The sequence below is a fragment of the Homo sapiens genome, chromosome 3 (assembly GCF_000001405.40).
Source record: "Homo sapiens chromosome 3, GRCh38.p14 Primary Assembly".
Classification (NCBI taxonomy): Eukaryota; Metazoa; Chordata; class Mammalia; order Primates; family Hominidae; genus Homo; species Homo sapiens.
In genome coordinates this window covers 193337928-193362680 of record NC_000003.12, presented here as the reverse complement: position 1 = coordinate 193362680, position 24753 = coordinate 193337928, and the positions used below count along the sequence as shown (strand labels likewise).

General features: G+C 39.0%; 1 protein-coding gene across 3 annotated transcripts in view, besides 1 other annotated feature; it reads left to right on the top strand.

The window, feature by feature from the left end:
• The window catches only part of ATP13A5 (ATPase 13A5), a 103965-nt gene that overhangs the window by 16073 nt on the left and 63139 nt on the right, over nt 1-24753 (top strand). For 2 of the 3 annotated variants that reach the window (NM_198505.4, XM_011512770.3), the window contains exons 4-9: nt 44-114; nt 220-300; nt 8485-8554; nt 11480-11614; nt 17606-17678; nt 18626-18754. In NM_198505.4, the coding sequence (NP_940907.2) occupies nt 44-114; nt 220-300; nt 8485-8554; nt 11480-11614; nt 17606-17678; nt 18626-18754 (559 nt within the window). Of the gene's footprint in view, nt 1-43; nt 115-219; nt 301-8484; nt 8555-11479; nt 11615-17605; nt 17679-18625; nt 18755-24753 lie in introns of those variants that run through there. The other variant, XM_047448075.1, reaches the window with a different exon arrangement.
• Nucleotides 14086-14764: an enhancer, noted in NCBI's record as "H3K4me1 hESC enhancer chr3:193065706-193066384 (GRCh37/hg19 assembly coordinates)". NCBI's record gives its function as "activates a minimal SCP1, AML or CMV promoter by ChIP-STARR-seq in primed H9 embryonic stem cells {active_cell/tissue: H9 hESC(primed)}" and the evidence as "EXISTENCE:reporter gene assay evidence [ECO:0000049][PMID:30033119]".

Here is a 24753-nt window from a genome sequence, read left to right as displayed (position 1 = left end):
TATGCTGTGAATGACACCTGCTCTATCACATTTGCAATCGTAGCTGCGGTGCATGGAAGTGCAGAAAATCAGGTATGTTTGGAACGACCTGGAGAAGCGGTTTCAGAAAGTTGGGTAAGTACAATGTTTTGTCACCCCTTGGTCAGGATATAGGGGAAAAACACTGATTTGTTGAGTGCTATGAACTGAAGTGTGGTTCCTATCCTGAATACATCCTAGGTTGCTAGAAGACAGCAATTCCTGCTCTGACATCCATCAGACATTTGGATTGGGTCTGACCAGTGAAGAGCAAGAGGTCAGGTAGGACTTATTATATGCCTTAAGAGTAAACTCTGCCAGCAGAAAATGAAGTATCAAATCAGTTATCATCAGTGCATTGTTGGCATAATGCTTCATCAGCTTGTTATAGTCCAAGTTCATTTACTGGCAGCGGAGATATCCTAAATTGTTCTTTTCTTAGGCAAACTTATTTTTACAAAGACCAAAAGAACAATGCAATCATATAAAATTTGATCTTTTATCTCAGGCTTGTAGAGCAATCATCTTTGTGTTGTTTTTTTATTTTTCCTTTCTTAAAAAAATCTTGAGTCATTCCCTAAATGTCAGCTTAGTAATCTTCCAAATCCTGGGAGAGACAGAATGACAATACTTTGATTGCATTTTATTCTGAAGAAACAGCCCTGGAGATGAGGATTTTGCTTGCTCGGTTAGTTGTGTTATTCACCACTATATCTGCAGTACCTAGAACAGTGCCTGATTCTTTGGTAGGAGCTCAATACATAATTCTAGAGTAAATGAGTAAGTTAATATATTCATTGATTTGTTAAATAACAAATAGGTACTTTGCAAGGAACTAAGGATCTAAAGACAAAGGTTTAGTCATTGTCCCAGAGACACGGACTAGTCAGAAAGAGAGGCATAAATGGTGGCACAATCATGAGATTGGTACCTATAGATGCACATAAATTAGGAAATGCTTATGCTATTATTAACTCACAGAGATACAGAGTCCCTGCTTTCTTCAGCTATTATTTGAAATGATGAACCCTGGCAAATCTGAAAGGAAATCATTACAAGTCTTCCCCAGAATCTTATAATCACCTTTATTTCTCACCCATTTTTAGAGAGAGTGTCTGCTTAACCTTTACAGTCGGCCAGAAACACCTATTCTCAAGCTAAGAAGTAATCAGATACTTTAAAATATAGGTTTTAAGCTCCACCCTCATAATTCTGATAATTCTGTAGGAGCAAGGGGTACTTAGAAGATACCCATTTTTAGCAAGCAACCCCCATAATTCTCACACACACCAAGTCTAAGAGTTACTGATCTGTTGTTTATAAGTTTTTCCTCTATCAGACACTGTGAAAAATGAACCAGACATCTGGACTAGGACAATATTGCAAAATGCCTTAGAAATGGTATTATTATGTAAGATTTCAGATGTAATGCTCAAAACATTGTCACAAAAAAGTTTTTAGAGTTATTAAAATATATTGGTTTAATAGCACTAAATACAAGGCATGTAAAGGATTTATCTAGGACATTTAAGAATTCTAGTTGATAGATGTAGACACACTCTGCCTAGGTAACCACTTCCACAGGAAAGATTTCCTGTCAGTGCAGCTACCTCATGTTTTTTTCTTATTTATCAAGCACCAAACTTCAGTAAACATTGTACATAATCAAATTTAAATCTGATCCATGACTGGGCGCAGTGGCTCACACCTGTAATCCCAGCACTTTGGGAGGCCAAGGCGGGTGGTTCACCTGAGGTCAAGAGTTCAAGACCAGCCTGGCCAACATGGTGAAACTCCGTCTTTACTAAAAATACAAAAGTTAGCCAGGCGTGGTGGCCTGTACCTGTAGTCCCAGCTACTCAGGAGGCTGAGGCAGGAGAATTGCTTGGACCCGGGAGGCGGAGGTTGCAGAGAGCTGAGATCATGCCACTGTACTTTAGCCTGGGCAACAGAGTGAGACTCCGTCACAAAAAAAAATCTGATCCACACAATATAGAACTTGACAATCTAATAAGCAAGACAAAGAGTATCATTTTCCAAATATGAAGAATGGAGCAGATAATCTACTTATAAACATGGTCATATTTATGTTATTTGGGGAGTGAAAAGAGAATAAGTAGAATATGGAAGATTTTTTCATTTCATTTTTTAGGGTAAGACCAAGGCCTTTAAAAAACTAAGTGTGATGGATGGTTGAGTAATATCTTACCAATTTCCTAGTGAATTTGAGCTTGCTTTCATTAAAAAGCAAGTGCATAAGATGAGAAATGAACGGGGATACACAAGAATCTCTGATGATGAAAAGCTATAGAGTTTACATGCAAACTTTTTCTATGGGCTCCCTAGCAGCTGGGTAGAGAGAGAAAATGCAGATTTACATAGTTCTCACTTTTCAGTAGCGAAAGCATATCCAAACATCAGGAGAAATAACTTTACCCCGGAGAGAAATTGTGAGAAGGGATCAGAAAGAGAGCAAGTAAATTGTCCCAGGAGTTCCATGTTCCTTAGCTTCACCCGTCATGAACTGAACTCAAACTTCCATATTAGTGCCTGTCCTAGGCAGGTCAAAAGACATTCAAGGTAATTCTTTTATATCACAAAAGTGAGCCCATAAGGGAAAAATAAAAATAAAAAACCTACCTGATTCCTCAACTAGTCAAGTAGTCTTCCTATTAAGATTATTTATCAGTTGAGCATCTCTTCACCTTATTTTTCACTCAGCCCACCCACCCTGCTTCTGTCCCTTTTGTTTAGGCTGCAGAAAATAAAAGGAGTAAATGACTTCCTGGCAGCAGAAATGGAAGGACCCTCTCCCAGCCCCCCTGCACCACCACCACCACCACCACACACACACACACATGCACACACACACACTTGAGGTTAAGTCCAGACCAATCACCTTGCTGGTGACCTAGCTCTCAGGAAGAAAAAAAGCTTTGATAGACAGGGTTTGCTGGTTTCTATGGTAGGAATATTCCATCCATGGCCAACTTAAGCCACCAAGGTGACATCACTGAATGCAAAGCTGGGAAGAGAGGCTCCCCGTTGATTTAGTGATTCTGCAAGGCCAAATTTAATTCTCAATGTTTACCACAGCATTGAGAGAAAAGGCATGCTTGTCAGCACCAGAGGAAAGGAATCCGAGTGACAGACAGCAAGAGAAGGTAGGTTTGCCATTAATGCATAGCTCCAAGCTGACAGAAACTGTTCCATGAGAACACAGAACATCAGAAAAGAGAGAAAGAAGAAGCAAAAAGAAGGTGAGAGAGAGAGAGAGAAGGACAGAGAGAGGCTGCTGTGAGACCCTACTCTCTTACTCCTCAGTCTTGGGGAAAGGAAAATTTAGAAACCATGCTTATATACCGTGACCTCTATCCCCTTTGAAACCACCTCTAGAAAAGAGCCCTGTAGTAGATACTCAGCCATCAGATCAGCATTTACAGAAGGATCAAGGAAGGGCTGGTTGGAGGAGAGGAAAGGGGCTTTGCTCATTCTTCTGGAAGCCAATAACGTAGTCTCAACTATTAGAATTCAATTAGAAGTTAACAAGTTACTTAAAAATGTAACATATATATATATATCCTTTCTTTAAAATTTAATGCATAAGCTATTTAATAAAAATTAAATGAACTGAGATCATTTTCTTTTTTAATAAAGTGGAATTATCAGATCCACGGTTCTATGGATCTTGGCCCATTTAAAGTATAAAACCACTTAACTCTACTGCCTTATTTAGAGCAAAGCCCTACAGAGGGACCAGGAAAGCTAAGTCCAGAATCTCCCTGGCAGGATCCTGCACTCGGTTTCTTTGTACCCCATCTCCATTCCTGATGTCCTCCTGGTCCATTCCCTTCTGCATCCCTATGCCTGGGAATGCTCAAGGCCTTTCCCCAGAAAAGCTGACTGGAAGCGCCTCACTTAGCTCACATGGAGGGCTTGAAGTCCTCTAAGAGCCCAACTTCTCGAGTTTTCCTGAGGCTATCTGAAAACATGCAATTTAGGCAATGAAAGAAATGGGCAGGTCACACATGAGGACAAATGTAAAAAACTAAAATAACTTTCATGTCATTTGTAGAATGGAGATACATTCTCTGTGTAAGTGTTTCATTAAAGTACACAAGCAGGTTCAAGCTGTAATGAAATAGAGATGTTTTCCTTCCATAAAGCAATTTCTCAAAATATACCAATCTTGTTTTTATTATTGTTTTTAATGGAAGGGCTCGAAGGCCAGCACTCTTGTTGTGCTATACAACCACATCCAAATCCCAGAAGTTGGATGCCATGTCCTGTGCATCTGTGAATATCTTAGGTCTTCCTCCCTTTATAAAACAAGAGTGTTAGGGAAGTCAGGAACTTGCTAACAGAATCACATGGGAACTTTCTCAACCTCTACATGTCTGCTTCCTAAAAATTCCTAAGTTCCTGGAAGTGGGTTATGCCAGAATCTCCTGGCTTGACATTGTATGTATGGAAAACTATAGACGTCCCTGCCTGCCAGAGACTCTGTTGGAAACTTATCAGAATGGAAGCAGTGAGCAAAAAATAGGTGTAGTTTGAAAAACTCCACCATAATTCTAACATGCCCTTCCTTCCTCCTTGAGGACTCCTTCAGTCTTTACCACCTGGAGCCTAAAATGGCTACCACACGACACATTATTAACAATTATTGGTAAGTTAATTGAATGAATGAATGAATGAATAACAAATGAAAAGGGACATGGACCTCCTCCAAGAGAAAGTCCTCCTAGTCATCTGCATTTTGTTTTCTCAGAAATAAATAAATTCTAACAGATTTACTGATATCTCAGGGTTGGAGGAAACCTCAATGATTCCCCAAGTTTAGCCCATGGTCCCTGCAGAAATCCCCTCCACAGGTTTCCTGCTGAGAAATTGTTCAACTTCTGGAGAGGGACCATCTACCTCCAAAGCAACTCTTCTTCTAATGCATAGTTGGAACTATTAGGCAGGTCTGCTTAATTTTATTTAGCCTACGTTGTTCTGTGAAGCTGCTGGAACAATCTGGGGCCTGTTTTCCCTGCCAGCTGGTCAGAATGTCAGCTCCCTTGTTTCTTAGACCTTTCCTCATGTGAACCAGCTTCAAATCTTATATTTCTTCCCATTGCTCAGCCATTAGTCAACACCCCTGAATATTCTGCTTGGCTTGTGCTGAAACTGAGATGGGTACATGATCTCTAAACACACAATATTTTTTGGCAAGAAGCAGTAGAAGAGACACAGCAGCAAGGGGCATGCCAGGCTGTGATTTCAATACAGTTCAGATGAACCGTAAAGAGGATGATCTACAGGCAAATATTGATCAACTGGATCCCCGTCCTCATGGGATCTCTTCTCTCTTAATGGTAATATTGCCAAACTTGGAGAGCCAAAGAGCATGAGACTCTAGGCTTGCTTTCTAAACTGCTTTCCATACCCCATGTACTGCCTTGAACCTCATTAATTCATTCTACTATTTAGGGAATATCCTCTAGGTCAGACACTGCGCCCCTAGTGCTAGATTTTTAGACAGGATTTAAAAATCTCTGTTTCTGGGCTGGGCATGGTGGCTCATGCCTGTAATCCCAGCATTTTGGGAAGCCGAGTCAGGTGGATCACGAGGTCAGGGGTTTGAGACCAGCCTGGCCAACATGGTGAAACCCCGTGTCTACTAAAAATACAAAAATTAGCCAGGTGTGGTAGTGTGGGCCTGTAATCCCAGCTACTCAGGAGGCTGAGGCAGGAGAATCGCTTGAAACTGGGAGGCGGAAGTTGAAGTGAGCCTAGACTGTGCCAATGCACTCCAGCCTGGGCGACAGAGCAAGACACTCCGTCTCAAAAAAGAAAAAGAAAAAAAAATCTGTTTCTGCCTTTAAAGGGACTCTAGGAAACTAGAGGGAAAAGACATTTAAGTATACATTATACTTTAATGATGTAAGTGCTGTTGCTAAGAAAAGAAAGGTTGTTGGAAGGGAGAAAAATAGAGTTAATTGTGCCAGAGGGAGTAAGACTTCAAAGATAGCTGCCATTTATTGAGAACTAAATGCTTTATGTATTTTTCTCATATGCTACTGGTAGCATTTTTTTTTTAAATTAGAGTCTCCCTTTGTTGCCCAGGCTGGTCTCAAACTCCTGAGGTCAAGCAGTCCTCCTGCCTCAGCCTCCCAAGTAGCTGGGACTACAGGTGTGTGCCACACACCCAGCTTGATAGCAATTTTATTAGGTATGTTTTATAAAACCCCTTTTACAGATGAGAAGAGTGAGGCTGACCCCTCATTCAGCCATCAATTCGTTCATTCAGCATATAATAGGCTCTGTTTTAGGCATTCGGAATGTATCGATGTCCTCTGGAAGCTTACATTATAGTGGAAGATACAGTCTTTTTTTTTTTTGCAAACTTATTAAAATGTGAAACATAACGTGTACTTTCAGGTAATTATATGCACTATAATGAAAAATATGGCAGGATAAGGAGATGAAGAGAATCTGAATTAAGAGTCAGGGTAGCTATTTCAAGGAGCATTGTTAGGGAAAGCCCAGTAAGGAGGTGCTACTTGAACAGAGAAAGAATGAAATTCATTCACAAAGGGAACGCCCTTGTTTCATTGAGGGACTGAGCGGGTAGACATACGAAGTTGTGGAGGAAATTAGTTCCAGTTGGAGGGAACAGCAAGCACAAGGTCTTAGCTGTGTTCAAATCCAGGCCTCTCTGCTCCCACATTTCTCAACCATTAAGCTTGATTGTCGGATCTGGCTCTCCGAGGCTGAGTAGGCATTTACAAACTGAAGAATGTGGGAAGGGCATTCAAAGCGGAGAGAGGGAGAGAGAATGGAGGACCGAGTTTGGGGTCCTAAGTTCTGACACTTTGCTTAACAACAGATTATTGCCCCAGATTGTGTAAAAGAGTCCTGAGTACTGAAATGGTTTGAGTTATGGGCTCTTTCCAGCGGGAGGTTTAGGGACTTAAGAAGTCAAAGAGCGTGATGGGCTGTTTGCCCTCTCTGATTCCCAACATCCTTGAACCTCAGTGTTTTCATGGCATGGAGTCAGAAGACCTCGGTTTGAGTCCTCTCTGTTCTTTGCAAACTACAATTATACTTGGAAAGAAATATGGCTAAGAAGTCAGATAAACTTGGGCTCAGCTCTCTGTTATACCTCAGTGAGACCAAAGATCTCTCATGCAGATTCTCCCCATTGGTCCTTTCTGAGGCAGATTTGTGAAGTGGAGTCATAGACAATGCTACAAAGCCTGCCTCTTTCTAGCTTTGCGATCCTGGAAAAGTTTCTTGGTTTATCGGAGCTTGAGTTTCTATTACAATAAGTGCTAATAATATGAAATCTCATGGGAATAATGTGATGATTGAAGGAGTTAATGCATATAAAAAGGCTAAGTGCAGTTTCTGACACTGTCAACTCTGTTTAAAAGTTACATTGTAGGCCGGGCGTGCTGGCTCACGCTTGTAATCTCAGCACTTTGGGAGGCTGAGGCGGGTGGATCACCTGAGGTCAGGGGTTCGAGACGAGCCTGACCAAGATGGAGAAACCCCGTCTGTACTAAAAATACAAAATTAGCCTGGCATGATGGTGCATGCCTGTAATCCCAGCTACTCGGGAGGCAGAGGCAGGAGAATCGCTTGAACCTGGGAGGCGGAGGTTGCGGTGAACCGAGATCGTGCCATTGCATTCCAGCCTGGGCAACAAGAGTGAAACTCCATCTCAAAAAAAAAGTTACATTGTTGTGATTCATACTAGATGTGTGCAATTTTGGCTACATGCCGCACTGAATAATTTCTTCCATTGGCAAAATAGAGGTATTAGCCCTTTCCTTTGGACTATTGTGAGGATCAAATGAATCTTTGTAAAAACTTTGTTAATGGTAAAATAGTATAGAAATATGCATTCTTGTTGTAATGCACATATGTATTACACCTTGTGTATAATATACACGTTTACCAAGTGTTAGCCATGAAGGCCATATCTTCCAGTTCATTTGCTCGTTCATTCAGTTCATATACTAATATGTATTCATTCGGTTCGTATACTAAGGGCCCTGTCCTAGGTGCTGGAGGTACCAAAGTAAGATAGATATGACTTCTAGCATCAAGGGCAATCTAGAATGCCTGACAAGTCTAGGAACATCTGCATAGCTGTGTCTTTTTCGTTGCTTTTAGTATATAATAAAATTATTTTAAAAGTAACTCAAAATGAAAGTGTCTTTCCAACTTTTTTTTTGAGTTGTACTACATTTAAGATATATTTGTATCGAGGACTACAGCTCTGTCCATCATACACTGACTTTCATTTCAAAAATAGTAGTTTAGAATTACGTTTCAAAAGAACTTGCACATTATTTTTTAATCAAAGTCACAAAATCTCCAAAGAGTAGAAAAATGACTTCTGTTTAGTTTGGCCTGTAGTCACTTATCATGTGCTTGTAGCTATGACACTAATGGATGATCAATTTCCCGCAGAAGATTAGTGTGTGGGCCCAACGCCATTGAGGTTGAAATCCAACCCATATGGAAGCTGCTTGTTAAACAGGTAACTGTTTTCTTTTCTTTTTTTTTTGAAAAAATAGATTTCTGCCCCTTACTTCTTACTTCCTAGAAGGAACACATAAATACTTTGATGTGAATGATATCTTGTTTCATGCGACTTCTTTTTGTTACTGCTTATTTTAAACTCAGGTTTACTTTAAAATTCCTTTCCAGTGTGAGACAGATTCCTGCCTCATAATCTCCTGTTTGTTTTGTTTTGTTCTCTTTAGTTTGGATGGTGGTTTTGGTGGTGGTGGTGGTGGTGGGGTGGTTAGTCCACTGGGTTGCTATAACAAAATGTCATGCATTGGGTGGCTTAAACAACAAACACTTATTTTCCCACAGTTTTAGAGGCTGGGAAGTCCAAGATCAAGGTGCTTGCATATTCAGTTCCCGGTGAGGACCCATTTCTGGGCGTGCAGACTACTGTGTTCTTTATGTCTTCACATGGTGGAGAGAGAGGTCTGGTCTCTTCCTCTTCCTACAAGGACACTAATCCCATCGTGGGATCTCTACCTTCATGACCTCATCTAAACCTAATTGCCTCCCAAGGGACCCATCTCCAAATACCATCACACTGGGGGTTAGGGCTTCAACCTATGAATTTAGAGGGGACACAAATGTTCAGTCCACAGCATGGGGCAATGTTATTATTTCTATAATTATTGAGGATTTGAAATGTATTCTTTTGGTCTTTTTCAAATGGCTTTATTATTTTCATTTTCTTGAGAGTAACTTCTCCCTTTGTTAGTGTTTTATTTTTGTTTTTGTTTTTAAAAATATTTTCCTTGTGTGCTTGGATTTTTTTTTTTAATGCTTACCTTAAGTGGGACACTTTCCCCATCAATTTTTCTCTTTCTCTCTGTGCTTTCTGTGCTTCTTTGATGGCTTTGTTTGCCTCCAGTTGGCCCCTATGTGGTCCCTGAAGGTTTGGGTGCTTGTCCTTCAGGGATTTGTCACATGCATGCCCTTAGCCAGCTTGAGGCTTAGCCCAGTTCACAGTTGTCCCATGGACACTCCTCTCCCATTCCACCCTTGGGTGGAAAGCCTTCATTGGTTATGACTTTGCTCAACCTCTATTCTGGAACAGGAAGCCCATGGCCACCCTTGTTTTCCACCATATGCCTCATTTCTATCCTCAGCCACCTAAGGGACACGTTCTGTCTCTATTCCTCCGAGAAAGGGGCTCCTAGATTTTGCTGTCTAGTCCTTGTCTGGAACCCATGAATCTGATGATGTGAGCCCCCACTCAATGGTGCATGTTTCCAGTCTATTTCTAACCCATAAAGATGGTCATTTTGTTTTGGAACATGGACATATCTTTTTAATATTAAAAAATTATTTACCATTATTCTGTGTCTGAAGCAGAAAACAGGTTGCTTTTTTTAACTTTATTTTTTAGACTAGTTTTCGGTTCATAGCAAAATTGGGTGGAACATACAAAGATTTCCCATATACGTCCTGCCTCCACATATGCATAGCTTCCCTAACTATCAAAAAGTAGGCAGCTTTTTAAACGTCAAGTACGTTTTCAAATTGCCAAATATTCTCCAGGGGTCAATGTGTTCTAATTTGAAAGGAGTGCTAGTATTTTCTGGCACCTATTTACTAGCCCTTTAGTAGAAAGAAAAAAAAAACCAAGTACAACTATTTCTCTACATTTGGTTTCAAAAGAATATTAAATAAGAGAACTGAATTAATTAGAATAGTGTTGTTTCTTCTGCAAAAAGTATTTAACCAGTATTCTACTGGATTTGTTTAACTTCAAGATCATATTATCATTTGCACATAATCTACAATCAGAGCATTTTATAATAAGCAAACAAAAAAGCTATAATTTGCAAGTAAAGCAGTTGGGATTGAAATAATAAGAAACATTAAGGAACAAAATCTTTTTTAATGGACAAAATATATCCAACACTTAAGATACAACGTACTAACTTATTTACCACATGTCAGTTCACTTTTAAGACTAAATTAGAATTGTATTTAGTACATAAGGGAATTATAGAAAACAGAGGTAAGAGAGAATAGCACTGGTTTTAACCAATATTTCATCCAATTCATAATGATTAGAAAGAACACTTTCTCAGAAAAATAATCCTTGCTTTGCTCTGATGGGCTCTTTAGTTCACTTTCTGCATGTATATCCTATGACTTTTCTCTGGCTTCTCAGGTTTGCCCTCTCTGCTCTCATTATTAGCATGAGTTAGCAGGACCCAAATGGGAAAAATTGAGGGAACAAAAAAAGTTGAAGGTATTCTCATGCGACCAGAAATGTACATGTATGAGTGACCAGCTTTCAGGTTGGTAATACCTTCTGCTTTCTGCTCATGATTTGCTCTGCAGCCTTGGGGAAGACATTTCTCTCCAGTCTTCCTCCTTGTTCAAGAGAAGAACTTGGCTGACTCTTATGTGACCTTGCTAGGACCTGTGACATGAAAGATATGCTATTTTTAAATGACCTGAATAAAAAAGTAGAATCTTTCATTTTCATTGCGCAACTTGACTAAATCTGCAGCATGTGATTATATGAAAAATAAAACTGCAATTAAACTGTTCCAAATGGAAGTACGTTTTTAAAAGAGACTGAATCATGTACCTCCCCCATTATGAGTCAGTCTGTTTAAGAAGGTGAATTGTTAAATTTTGTTATTGGTAAAATATTTTTGAAATTCAAAATGAATAAGAATGATCAACTTGTGGGCATGGCTCTGAATGCATAAAATAATTTTGCTTCCACCATATCACATTCTATGTGTTTGACATTTTCTCAACCCAAATCAATAGAGATCTAAGTGAATTCTTAAATATTAGAGGTTTGTGTATGTTGTAAAAAAATGAGAAAAAAATTGATAATGAAATGACATCTTCTTGATTGCTACTAAGGTTCATGCAAGTGACCCAAATGCCATTTTTGTGCCTGCAGGTTTTAAATCCATTCTATGTGTTCCAAGCCTTCACCCTAACTTTGTGGCTGTCTCAAGGTTACATAGAATACTCTGTGGCCATCATCATTTTGACTGTTATCTCCATTGTCTTAAGTGTGTATGATTTGCGACAGGTAAGACCTGAAATCACAGCCAGATTCTATTTAGCTTCTAGCTAAAGAAGTAAAGCCCATGGTATTTCCACTGAGAGCCAGGAGTTGCTTTGTCAACCATAAGTCATAAAACAAAAAGTGAGGGCTTACCAAATATGGGATGACAGAAGGACTTTGGACTACCAGGGAGAGTTAAATGTCTTTGCAAACTCTGATTATCATCTGAAGCCTTCATCGAATGCTTTGTTTAGAAGCACTCTGAGGCTCTATTTGAGTATGGTGGGAAAGAATGCTGTGATGGATTAATGATGCCAGCCATAGTTTTAGGAGAATGAAGGGGTAGCATCTCAACTGTGTGCATTAATCAAGATATTATGCCCCTTAGAACATTTCCATCTATTTTCCCTGACTTAAATATTGTATTTGTTCTATAGGTTTCCTATTTAATTGTCTTTGAAAAATTTTAGTCTCCCTCTTAGAAGTCCTTTATAATGTCTATGTGTTCATTTGATATTCGGGTATATCTTTACGGAAATCCCAAAGAAATACAGAAATTCCTGTGTGGGAGTTAGGGGATGGGTTGTGGAAAAAATTAGGTTTGATTCTATACTCAATAAGGCAGTGTTTCAGCAAGAGAATTCCTTGACATTTTTGAGCTTCTGGCTTATTAAATCAAAATATCCAGGGTTAGAATCTTCATTTTTAAAAGTTTTATAACTAATGATTGTTATGCATTCTGAAAGCTTAAGAATGATTATTATAAGGGAACCCACTGAAGGATAAATTCAAACACGAAGGTCCCAGATATATGTATTTATTTATTAATGCCATCATATTTTTCATTCATTTTACTCTATTAAGTGCATATATATATACCAGCTTATATGGAGATTTATGTCTTTATTAATTTTTAAAATTAAAATAAGATCTTACTATGCACATTAATCTGGAACTTTCATTTTTCACTTTATATATAATGGCAATTCACCAAGTAAATAAATAATTATAATTCATGTTTTTAAAATAATACTATAATATTCCATGATATATCATAATTTATTCAACTATTCCGTTACTTGTTGAAAGTAATTTCCCCTCAATCTTTTGCCACCACAAATAATGTTGAATTAAAAGTTACTACTACAGTATGGGCGTGTTCTTACATATTAGTGTTTGCATTTTTTAGCATAGCAACCAAAAGCCAGGTTACTGCATCAAGGCATATGTATGTTTTGAATTTTAATAGATGCTGCTATATTATTTTCCACAAATGAAAGAATTTTTTTAAATCAGAAACACACAAGAGTGTTTATTTCCCCTGGATTCATCAGTTTCTGGAGTTATATTGATATTTACGATTTTTAAAATCTAACATCTTTAAAAAAACCGGGTCTCATTGATGTTTTAAGGTACATTTTCCTGATTGCTGGTGAGACTAGACACTTTTTGTTGTCTAATAGTGTTTTGCATTTTCATTTTATATTAAGGGCCTCTTTATATTCATCATATATGTGAAAAAGTTTTACTTTTTAGTCTATTTCTCTAGACTTTGACTTTAGCTGTGGATGAACATTTATATATTGAGTCAAATATATTTCTGCTTTCCTTTATGGTTTATTGTTTTGCTTATAAGAACTCCCCTTCCAAAGTTAGGTAATACCTGTTTTCTAATACTTGTAATTTGCCTATTTAAAAATCCTTACTGGAATTTAAACATTCAGGTTCCATATCTTAACAGAATCCCTACATTCCTTTGTTCAAAACAGTGGCTAATATGGGAACTTTAGACTTGGTGGCAGTATTGCAAAAGATTTCTTTAAAAAACAGAAAAGGAATTAGAGGACAAACACTAATCTCATTAGCAGCCAGTATTTACTAATAAAAGGGTACCTAACCCAACCTGTAAAGCACCTTGTAACACTCCACAAAATGAGCCAGTTTCCTGAAACTGTGTATTTGCAATTTAAATCACAAGTCCTCATTCATCAACATCTGTTTAGGACTTTACGGTTTACAATAGGCGCCCACATTCACAATGTATGTGTTTGTATGGGACATGGCAAATTATGAAATAAAACATACATGATTTTTATAGCCTCCTAACCACCTGAGAGGGAGGGACAGGGGCAATCCAGGAGGTGAAGGGACTTACTCACACTCACCCAGTAACAGTGGCCTTAGCCCCAGGTTTTCTGATTCCAAGTCAAGTACTACATACACACTGTCCCATTGAGCGCAATCTCAAAGTGACTCATGAATTTCCTTGCAGCAGTAAGATTTGGGGAAGGGCTTTGGCAGGACTGAAAGAAGGAGCATCTACTGCTATCTCCAAATCATTCTGTTGAGCTACATTGAAGTTCATTATTTCACTGAATTAAAGACTTAGGTAAACAAACACAGGCTTTGGAAAATTGTAAGAGAGTAAGTGTTTGCAGGAGTAGAATAAGATGTTTTTCTGCATCTACTGGGGCCCCAAATCATGCTACACAAAGAAAGCTTACCTTTCCTAAGCCAAGAAACCCTCCCGCTTCCGTCCCTTTCTAACAAGTTTGGTGCAGGCATGAGTGCAAACCTTGGTACTCAACTGTATTTGCATTGAACTGTATGTGCATACTGTATTGCTGAGCTCCACGGGTGGCTGCTAGAAATAGCATTGGGAGTATCTGGCCCACAGTGCTTTGCCTTCAGTCATGACAGAGCCAAGCTCAAGAGGCACCTGAGTTAATACCCTCATTACTCATCTCTAGAGGAAATCCAGCCACGACAAACACAAGGGCACGTAGCAACAGATGCTGAATAATAACGATATGCAAATTCATCTTGGAAACTGATCCTGGTCCTGCTGAACAGGGACAGAAGAAACTAAAGGTGGCCTAATGAAAATCAGGCAACGAGCTTTGCAGTCATGGCAAGCACTGCAGGGTTTGCCTTCTCCTAGCTAGTTGGTTGCCATAGAAACCCGTGTTTGCAGATTTTCTGAGCGCATTAACTCAAAGAGGAGGCTAACATTATCCCACTCCAGTGTTGTTGGGAGAAGTAGAATAATTTGGTTCTAATAAATACATATTTGACAAGGGCCTACTATGTGATAGGCTCTAGAGGAATCCACAGATACATAATGTACATGGTGCCTTTCTTCTCTCTACTGCCTGACTCACGAGGGAGGCCTGACAAGACAGCAGATAGCTATAATGGAATGTGATCAGTACACTCACACAGGTGGAGAGAGCAGAACAATGAATTCTTCCTGAGAATTGTAGGGATTTGCAGAGTGGAGGTGACATTTGAGTAGGCCTTTATGAGAAGGATTAGAAAGAGTTTGCTAGTAGAAAACCGGAGTGGACGTCCTAGGGACTAGCTTGAGCAGAGGCCTGGAAGCATGACAGGTTACACAGAATGCTAAGTCTAATAAACCAATCCAGCTCTACAGCATAATGAGTTTTGAGAATTACAGTCAAGTATGATTAACTCATACTTCACCACTTCCAAATGTGTTGATTATCATCCTCTTATGCTAAGCTGAATTTGGCATTATCTAAACGAGTTTCTAAGCAAAAAAAAAAGAAATCTAAGGAAGGATTTTTATCTTCTTAAAGAAAAAAAATGCTATTTTTAAGCACTAGTAGAACATATTCCTCAACAGAAAAGGTTTTAGAGTCAGATGAACCTAGGTTTGATTTACCTAGTAAGTAAATGATGGTGAAAAGATTACTTTAACATTTTTCAACCCCCTTTTATTTGGTTTTTACATGTATGTTGGAGATAACATTTTCATCATAGAATTATTTTGAGAATTAAAAAAATTAAATACTGTTATTCAAGTGCCTACAACAATGCCTGGCACATAATAACTGCTTCATGTTTTAAACTATTTATAAATAATAAAGATTTGAGCCATTTTATATACCATGTGTATTTCTTCTATGATGCCTTGCAGGTTTTAAATACATCTCTGACATGCAAAATAAATCAATGTCATATCATTTTAGAGCTTGAAGGTATAACTTGAAAGTGATCCAATTCAATGTTGTCTGTTTACAGAGAAAACGACTAAATTCTAAGGCGCAATTTCTTACATACTCACATTACCTGACTGATTAGGGGGTATGCCTGACCTACGACTCAGAAATCCTGACTGACTCCAGGGTTCTTTGCCCACAGAAACACAGCTGACTTTCCCACTATTACGCATCATTAAAATGCATGCCCCAACAGTTAAGCCTCAGGAAGTCACCTTAGAGCAATGAATATGCACTAAACAGTACTATCGCTTCTTCCACTCAATTGATCCAAATTACCAAAGTTTAACTTTCCATGCAAAACTGAAGTATATCATAAATTTTTCCATATAAATATTAACGCTGGGTTCATTATGTTTTCTTAAGGGGAAAGTTGCCTAATTATGTGTAATGCTTGTCTTAGCCTGGTGACATTTGTAACATTAAATATCACCAACAGAACAGATCAAAACAATTTAACAGCTAAAAGAAAAAAAGTTTTACATTTGAATTAGGTTAAGGTGAATTAAGTATTGCTGACAGTATTCAAACCCACTTCCAGTTAGAGGCATCCAAGTCACCGACATCCAAACAGGAAGAGGCAGTACCTTCCAGGGCTGGCCCAGCATGGAACTTTCTCTCGCTGATGTTGCCCCAACAGTCAGTCTGGGGAACTGTATGGATGAAATCATCTCTCACCTCTGCCTTTCTGTCCCCTGTGTTATCCTATAAGATGCTTTCTCCACTTCTCCAGGCTCCTTCCATTTTCTCCACTTTTCACAGAGTCCTAACTCAATAAACGATCTCAAGCAAGTCTTTCCAGTTAACGTGCTCTCACAACTGTTTTCCCAACAACTTTCTTATGAATCACTAACACTCATGAGCTCTTAGCATAGTATTGAGTACTACACAGAGGGCTCTATAAGAATAAAATACCTTAAAACTTAACCCTATTGTATTCTGTTATAATCTCCCCTTTCTGATGAGCAAAAAGGAGTTAAACAGGCTAAATAACTCATAAGCAGTAGCACAAGATTCACGACTTAACAGCATAACTCCCATCTGCAGACTTAACCAATATGAAAATCCACAGTTCATAAAGGAGAGGATGGCTGTCCCACATGCAATCAGAACACAACCCAAACATTCACAGACACTTACAAGCAGAAAGCCACTTACAGAGAACATTTAGCTTTGTTGTTTTACAGACAAGGAGACAGAGGCATAGAGAGGGAAGTAACCTGCTCACAGTCTCATTCTTCCTCATTCTGATTGTGCATCTTCAAGAAATGTAGCTTTGGTTTGTTAAAGTGAACTAAATATGGCCTGAGAAGGACTCTGTACTTCTATATTTGAGTCCTTGTGGACCAACCTTAACCTAACTTAATAGACAAGATTGAAAACCTAACTTATGCGTCTGTTACAATACCTGAGTCTTGGCCAATCTTCAGCGACTCATACAGCAGCCATACTTCCACCACTCATACACTGCTGAGTGCTCAAACTGTTACTATAAGGCAAACACCAACCTGTAACCAATCCAGCTGTTTCTGTACCTCACTTCCGAGTTCTGTAGTCATTTCCCTTCTTTGTTCCATAAATTTATTCTGACCATCAGGCATCCCTGGAGTCTCTCTGAATCTGCTGTGATTCTGGTGGCTGCCTGATATGCGAATCACTTTTTTTCTCTTCCTCAATTAAACTCCCATTAAATTTAATTTGTCTAAAGTTTCTTTTAACAGGTTCCTTGGCTTAGGTCCTTGAGGCAGTGACTGTGCATTATTTTTTCTTGGGAGTGAGATAGCATTAAACTAATAAGCATATTTGCTGCTGCACATAGGGGGTCAGGTGAGGTAGGGGTTGGAGCAAGGAAGCTGAAGCATCAAAAGAAGTTGAGTCCTTTGCCCAGAGTCACTTTAGCTGTGACAGCTGGCCTGGTATTTACTGTAATGAGATCATGTGGTTTTCAGAACATGAACTATCTAATGTTTAAATGTTAACTTTTACTTGGTAGCAATCAGTTAAGCTGCATAACCTCGTGGAGGACCACAACAAAGTCCAGGTTACAATCATTGTAAAAGACAAAGGTAAGTGATGTGTTAGGCCATCTTCAGCATCTTAATATTTCAGGGGGGAATTGGTCTCATTTGTCCTTAATTATTAGTCAAGGAGAAATAATCTTTTCAGATTGAACCCAGAACTGGGACGAGGGTGAGGCAAAGAAGCCCTCTAAGATAGAAAATTTAAAGAGGCAAGATCATGCCAGTGCTGACCCCACAGCTGCAGGGCCCTGAGAACAAGGGCCTCATTGAATTTTGTACACTGGACAGCTTGCTTGCCTTACCCTCACCCAAGCCCTCATTCCGTCATTCTTACCCAATGTCTGGGTTCCTTCAAATTCCCTCTCCCCTTCACATGTCACTCATTCGAATAACATTGGGTAAACCTTCTTAAGGTTCCTTTATTTCCCAGTCTAACTATCCCAAACAGACCCTGCATCACACAATTTGAACTGCCATCTGGAACCTGGGCCTGAATGGGGCTTTTAGATAGCTGTCTGGACACTTGGCATCTGTTCTGAGCTAGTCAGAGGTGGAGTGGCTGTGGCTTTTTGCAAGGAGCGAGGAGCTGCACCCTGGGACAGCAGAAGTTATTTGGGCAATTTAAGTAAGGCCTCAATCCAAGAAGACAAAGTGTACCAACCACAGGAATCAGAAACCCGGACGAGAGCAAACAGCAGGAAGCTGCACTTCTGCTTTGCCCAGTGCCCTTGTGTATCTGCTGTGGGCAAAGCACACCAGGTACTAGGATCAAGATGGGATCCTGTTGCTTAGCTAATCCTTTTCTGAGTCCCAGGAACCAATTTCCTAATCCTGATTCTTTCGGAATTTTCAATTGACTAAAAAGGGGCTTCAACAGTTGAACAGGTAGGGTAGCTCTTGGCCAACAGGTTGATAAGGATTCTTAGTTGCCTTCATTCTTAAGTAAAAACAGGAAAAGGTCAGCTATTCATGGAAACTTTGCTTTGGTGTAGGTTTGGAGGAGCTGGAATCCCGTCTCTTGGTTCCCGGAGACATTCTTATTCTTCCAGGAAAATTTTCATTGCCATGTGATGCTGTTTTGATTGATGGAAGCTGCGTGGTGAATGAAGGCATGCTTACAGGTAGGCAGTTGTCATGGAGCTTCCTCTTCCCTGTCTGACATCTAATCAGATCAACATATCCTCACCTACCTTATACCAGACCCTTGCTAAGATATTCAGAGATAGGTGAGGGAGACACAGCCAGCCTTTGCATTTATATGGAGACACAATATACACAAACAGGAAATGTTTAACAATATAAGAATTAAGTCACAATAAATGTGAAATGAAAACAAATGTTTAATATGACATGTGATTAATTGACCAATTAGTGGGGTGAATAGGGTGCTTTGGGTTCAGAGGAGGATGAGAGCACTACACAGTTTGAAGCACAATCTCTTCATAAACATGAGAATGGTTTATACACATGTACAAAAGAGATGCAACCTTAAAAACCATGACTCCCACAATTGGAAGGCCATAGAGGTTTTATCCAACCCTGCACTCTGTAGATAGAAAACTACTGAGGCCAAGGTTTCACAGGAAAGGAGTTTGAGTTGAACCTCCGGGCAAAGACGATCGCACAGTTCTGTTCTTTAGATTTATATTCCTGTTGATCTCACTGAGCAGAAACTAATCTTCTAGTTATAGTTCAGGCAGTCCTAGTTCTCATTTGTACTTTGTTAAGTCTACTTGAATTTGTTTAATTAGTAAGATACTACTTATAAAATATTCTTTAGGCAAAAAATTAAAATACACAGCACATTGTAATGAGAGAAGAGACTATACAGCAACACAGAAATAGAAACTTTGTCTTTTATGCTTACAGACTGTTTAGTTTTTCTGTTTCCAAATGGTATAAAGACAGGGAAAATGTTTTAACATGACCTAAATGTAGGGAGAGTTCATTATCTATCCCTAAATTGTTCAACACAAGCAGATTTTACATTAAAATGGGTCTGCTTAATTCAAAATTGAGACAAGAAAATGTAGTTAACATAAATATGTTCAGTATAATTACAAAATACTCCTTTAATGTGTTGAAATGTGTCCTATAATGATAGTGATGAGGATTTGCATACTGATCATATCTTTTACCCAGAATGTTGCCATAGTATCTGACCTGTAAACCTCAAGCCCAAGGAAAACTGTCCTTCTCATTCAAACACAGCAGCTGCCTCACACCTCCCAGCAGCCTGACAGTGAAGAATGACTTCTCTCATTGGTAACAGAGAGTGTGGCAGTGAGCAGACATGGGGAGGAAACACAGAAAGTCTCACTGCCCTTGGGCTGCCCTCTCTCCTTTCACTGTAGCGGGTGTATAGAACTTGCCTTGATTCCCAGGAAAACTCAGAGAGTTCCAGAGGAATAGAAATGACAAACAACGCTGCCTTTCAACAAATGTGCAAAATGGCTCCAAATAACCTTAAATGACAAGTGGCTTCTAGTTTTCCTTTTTGGAAAAACGAACTCATCAGCACTAATATCTGTGTAACTTAAGTACCGATAGAGGCCAGTTTCAGAGACAGACACATGAAGTAAAAATACATTATTTCTTTTTTGTTAACTTCTTCAGAAAGATCTAAATCCCAGTCTGGTCTAAATACTTTATTGCACAGCCTACATAGATCCTCCCACTCATGTACATATTTGTGGAAAGGATCTTGATTAAACAGAGGATTAAGGTAAGATTCCTGAAACTGCAAATGTATTCCTAGGGAATTTGTCCACAAATATGATTTAGGTATTTCTTCCCTATGTACGAAATGGTCCTTTGCATAGATAGAAGTCTTTATTTATGTAAGAATAAAAATATCAAATATTCCTAGCATCTCTATAGCAACTTACATTTTATAAATAACTTTTATATCTCACTTCATCATGGTATAAAACAAATTAGACTAGGAGCTGTTAGAATACCGATTTACAAATGAGGAGAGTGAGGTAAAAAGACCAGAGCTGCTCGGCTAGCAAGTGAAAGGATCAGAATTGGAGGTGGCATTCGCTCCCAAATATAAAGGACCATAGGCGTGAGAAAGATAATTCTAAGCTGGAAAAAGCTGCTGACTTCATCTTCCTGCCTCATCACCTTTTTCTCCCTACTTGGTATTCCCATCAATAGTATCCACTTTTTGGTAAGCTCTTCTCCTCCTGCTCTCCTTAGCCTTATGCTATTGTCATAAATTCAGCTGTGCAAGAAGTTTACCTTTATTTTATAACTACACTTAATTTTTATGTCGGTTCCAAATTTTGCCATCCTTAAAAGTGTCCAGTGTGAATATCTAATATGAGTCAGACAGTTGTCCCCATCAGTTAGGTGGTCTTCCTCACCCTTGTCTGACTGTCCTAAGATGTGCAAGACATCAGGGAGAGGGGTCTGATGGAGGGCAGCTCTTCTTCCTGCTGCTCCCACTCCACTCTGAGCTGTCTGAGGCCTATTTACCTGGACAGGGCAGCAGATCCTGGTGCTGTTCGCGCTGTTTCCACAACCTTGTTGCATGTTCCCGTGTTCTACTGTGGTGCACACCTCTTCTCTCAGGGACACACCACATCTAAGTCCCGTTGGATTCTCTTCCAACTCCCAGTACGAGGACTTTGATTTAGCTAGAAATGCAGTAGAGGAAAGGCATGGTGAGCAGAAAAACTTTGTTCTTACTCTCAGATAGTCTCTCAATCCATGATCAAACTCATGAAGGACTTCAAAAACTCAAAAGCCAGTGATCAACTCCCCCGTCCTTCTCTTCTGCTGTCTTTCCTGAAACAATAATCAACTTCAAGATCTAGCTTCTCTCAAATGGGAGGAGTCTGGAGACAAAAGGGAATATCATTTGGGAGGGGGGGGGAATATGTTAATTTAGAAATTATCTCTTGGCACTATAGCTTTTTTTCTTAGTTCTCATATGTATTAGGCATTGTGCTAACATTTTACATATACTATTTCATTCAACCTGCAACTCTATTAGAGTGGGCAAATCTGAGGCCCAGAAAGGGTAACTAATTTGCCTAAGGTCACACAGCTTAGAAGTGGCACAGCTGAGATTTGGATTTGTTTGTGAATTCACTCATTCTACAGATATTTATTAGCCCCTACTATGGAGCAGGAACTCTGCAGGTGACATAGCAGTGAAAAAGGCAGATAAGATTTCTGCCCTTGTGGAGCTGATATTCTAGTGACAGAGACAGAAAACATGAAAGTATACAAATGACACAAATTTTCAACAGTTATAAGTTATATGAAGAAAACAGAAGACTTCTATTGTCTTAATAAATAAATTTAATGCCTTAAATACAGGCATTTTGTCCCCAGAACCTAGGCTTGTAATCAGTGTTTCCTCATTCTCTTAGGGATAATTATGGCGAAGAGGGGTGGCATGCACTCTGCCGCAATCCCCTTCCCTCTTCTTCTCTTCATTAAGCTGCTGATGTATTTGAGATGTGTGTGGGGCGAGAGTGCAGTGACCTGAGTTGGACATGCAGGGATTTTCCTAAGTGATGATCTCACATCGATATCCTGTCAGACGAGCTTATCATCAGTTGATAGGTCAGATCTTTTTCTCTCTTCCTTTGATCCTTTCGTCCTCTCTTTTTATCATCCTCCTTCTCCCTTTCCTTTTACTTATTTGTTCATCCATTTACTCAATAAAAGCTCAGAAATGCCTACCATGTGCCAGGTACTGTGTTGCGTATTGGTGTCACCAAGTTAAAAGAGAAATGGTCTCTGGTCTCAAAACATTTACAGTCTAATGGTTCTAGAACTATAAATTAAAAGGACTTGGAATTTCAAACACTGTCACCATGAAGAGGCATCTTGATCCTTGTGGACAAGGGAGAGAACCTCCACGTGACAGCACAGGGAGCCAAATGTACAGTTGATTATGAGCAATGATGGTTCTTTCCTCTAAAACTCTCTTCAGCTGCCTTGGACCCCACATCTTTTGTAGATGAATCATCCTTTCTTGGGCTCCCCAGAAAGGCCAAAACATGAGGCTTCTTATTAATATGCAAATAGCATAAAAGAGACTTGAAAACCATCTCTCTGTAAAATCATCTGACTATTATCTCTGGAACAAATTATCTGCAAATGACTTCCATTACTGATTGATCAATACATGACTGCCTCCAGTTTCATTGGTTTTGTGTGCAGAAAACAGTTTACTGATGTTAGCCTAAGTATATATTGTGGATTAATATTCTGTGATTCAAAAGCAAAAAAAAAGGAAATGATCTCTAAGTATTCGCCTCTTACAAAGGCTGATTTCAAAACAATGTAGTACCATAATTTGGAGATTTGTCAAAACATTCTAACCCTTCTACGAAGCCATAGAATGCAATTGATACATCTACACAATGGATGAATATCATAATTGTTTTAAAGAAAATGGCATAGGGAACAACACTTGCCTAAAAGAATTTCTTGAAAAATATTCAAGATTGCTAATAACAATTTTATAGCTTCTTACACCTTAGCATGTAAAAATACATCACAGCAGAAAATGAGTTTTGAAAAACCAATCATAGAGAAACTTGGGCATTTTTATTTAATTCATCTGCGCATTTGAAAAAACTATGTGTTTTCAATATACCAGAATCTCTGGGACACATTTAAAGCAGTGTGTAGAGGGAAATTTATAGCACTAAATGCCCACAAAAGAAAGCAGGAAAGATCTAAAGTTGACACCCTAACATCACAATTAAAAGAACTACAGAAGCAAGAGCAAACGCATTCAAAAGCTAGCAGAAGGCAAGAAATAACTAAGATCAGAGCAGAACTGAAGGAAATAGAGACACAAAAAACCCTTAAAAAAATCAATGAATCCGGGAGCTGATTTTTTGAAAAGATCAACAAAATTGATAGACTGCTAGCAAGACTAATAAAGAAGAAAAGAGAGAAGAATAAAATAGATGCAATAAAAAATGATAAAGGGGATATCACCACCAATCCCACAGAAATACAAACTACCATCAGAGAATACTATAAACACCTCTATGCAAATAAACTAGAAAATCTAGAAGAAATTGATAAATTCCTCGACATATACACCCTCCCAAGACTAAACCAGGAAGAAGTTGAATCCCTGAATAGACAAATAACAGGCTCTGAAATTAAGGCAATAATTAATAGCCTACCAACCAAAAAAAGTCCAGGACCAGACAGATTCACTGCCGAATTCTACCAGAGGTACAAGGAGAAGCTGGTACCAGTCCTTCTGAAACAATTCCAATCACTAGAAAAAGAGGGAATCCTCCCTAACTCATTTTATGAGGCCAGCATCATCCTGATACCAAAGCCTGGCAGAGACACAACAAAAAAAAGAGAATTTTAGACCAATATCCCTGATGAACATCGATGCAAAAATCCTCAATAAAATACTGGCAAACCAAATCCAGCAGCACATCAAAAAGCTTATCCACCATGATGAAGTCGGCTTTATCCCTGGGATGCAAGGCTGGTTCAACATATGAAAATCAATAAATGTAATCCAGCATATAAACAGAACCAAAGACAAAACCCACATGATTATCTCAAGAGATGCAGAAAAGTCCTTCCATAAAATTCAACAGCCCTTCATGCTAAAAACTTTCAATAAATTAGGTATTGATGGGACGTACCTCAAAATAATAAGAGCTATCTATGACAAACCCACAGCCAATATCATACTGAATGGGCAAAAACTGGAAGCATTTCCTTTGAAAACTGGCACAAGACAGGGATGCCCTCTCTCACCACTCCTATTCAACATAGTGTTGGAAGTTCTGGCCAGGGCAATCAGGCAGGAGAAAGAAATAAAGGGTATTCAATTAGAAAAAGAGGAAGTAAAATTGTCCCTTTTTGCAGATGACATGATTGTATATTTAGAAAACCCCATCGTCTCAGCACAAAATCTCCTTAAGCTGATAAGCAACTTCAGCAAAGTCTCAGGATACAAAATCAATGTGCACAAATCACAAGCATTCTTCTACACCCATAACAGACAAACAGAGAGCCAAATTATGAGTGAACTCCCATTCACAATTGCTTCAAAGAGAATAAAATACCTAGGAATCCAACTTACAAGGGATGTGAAGGACCTCTTCAAGGA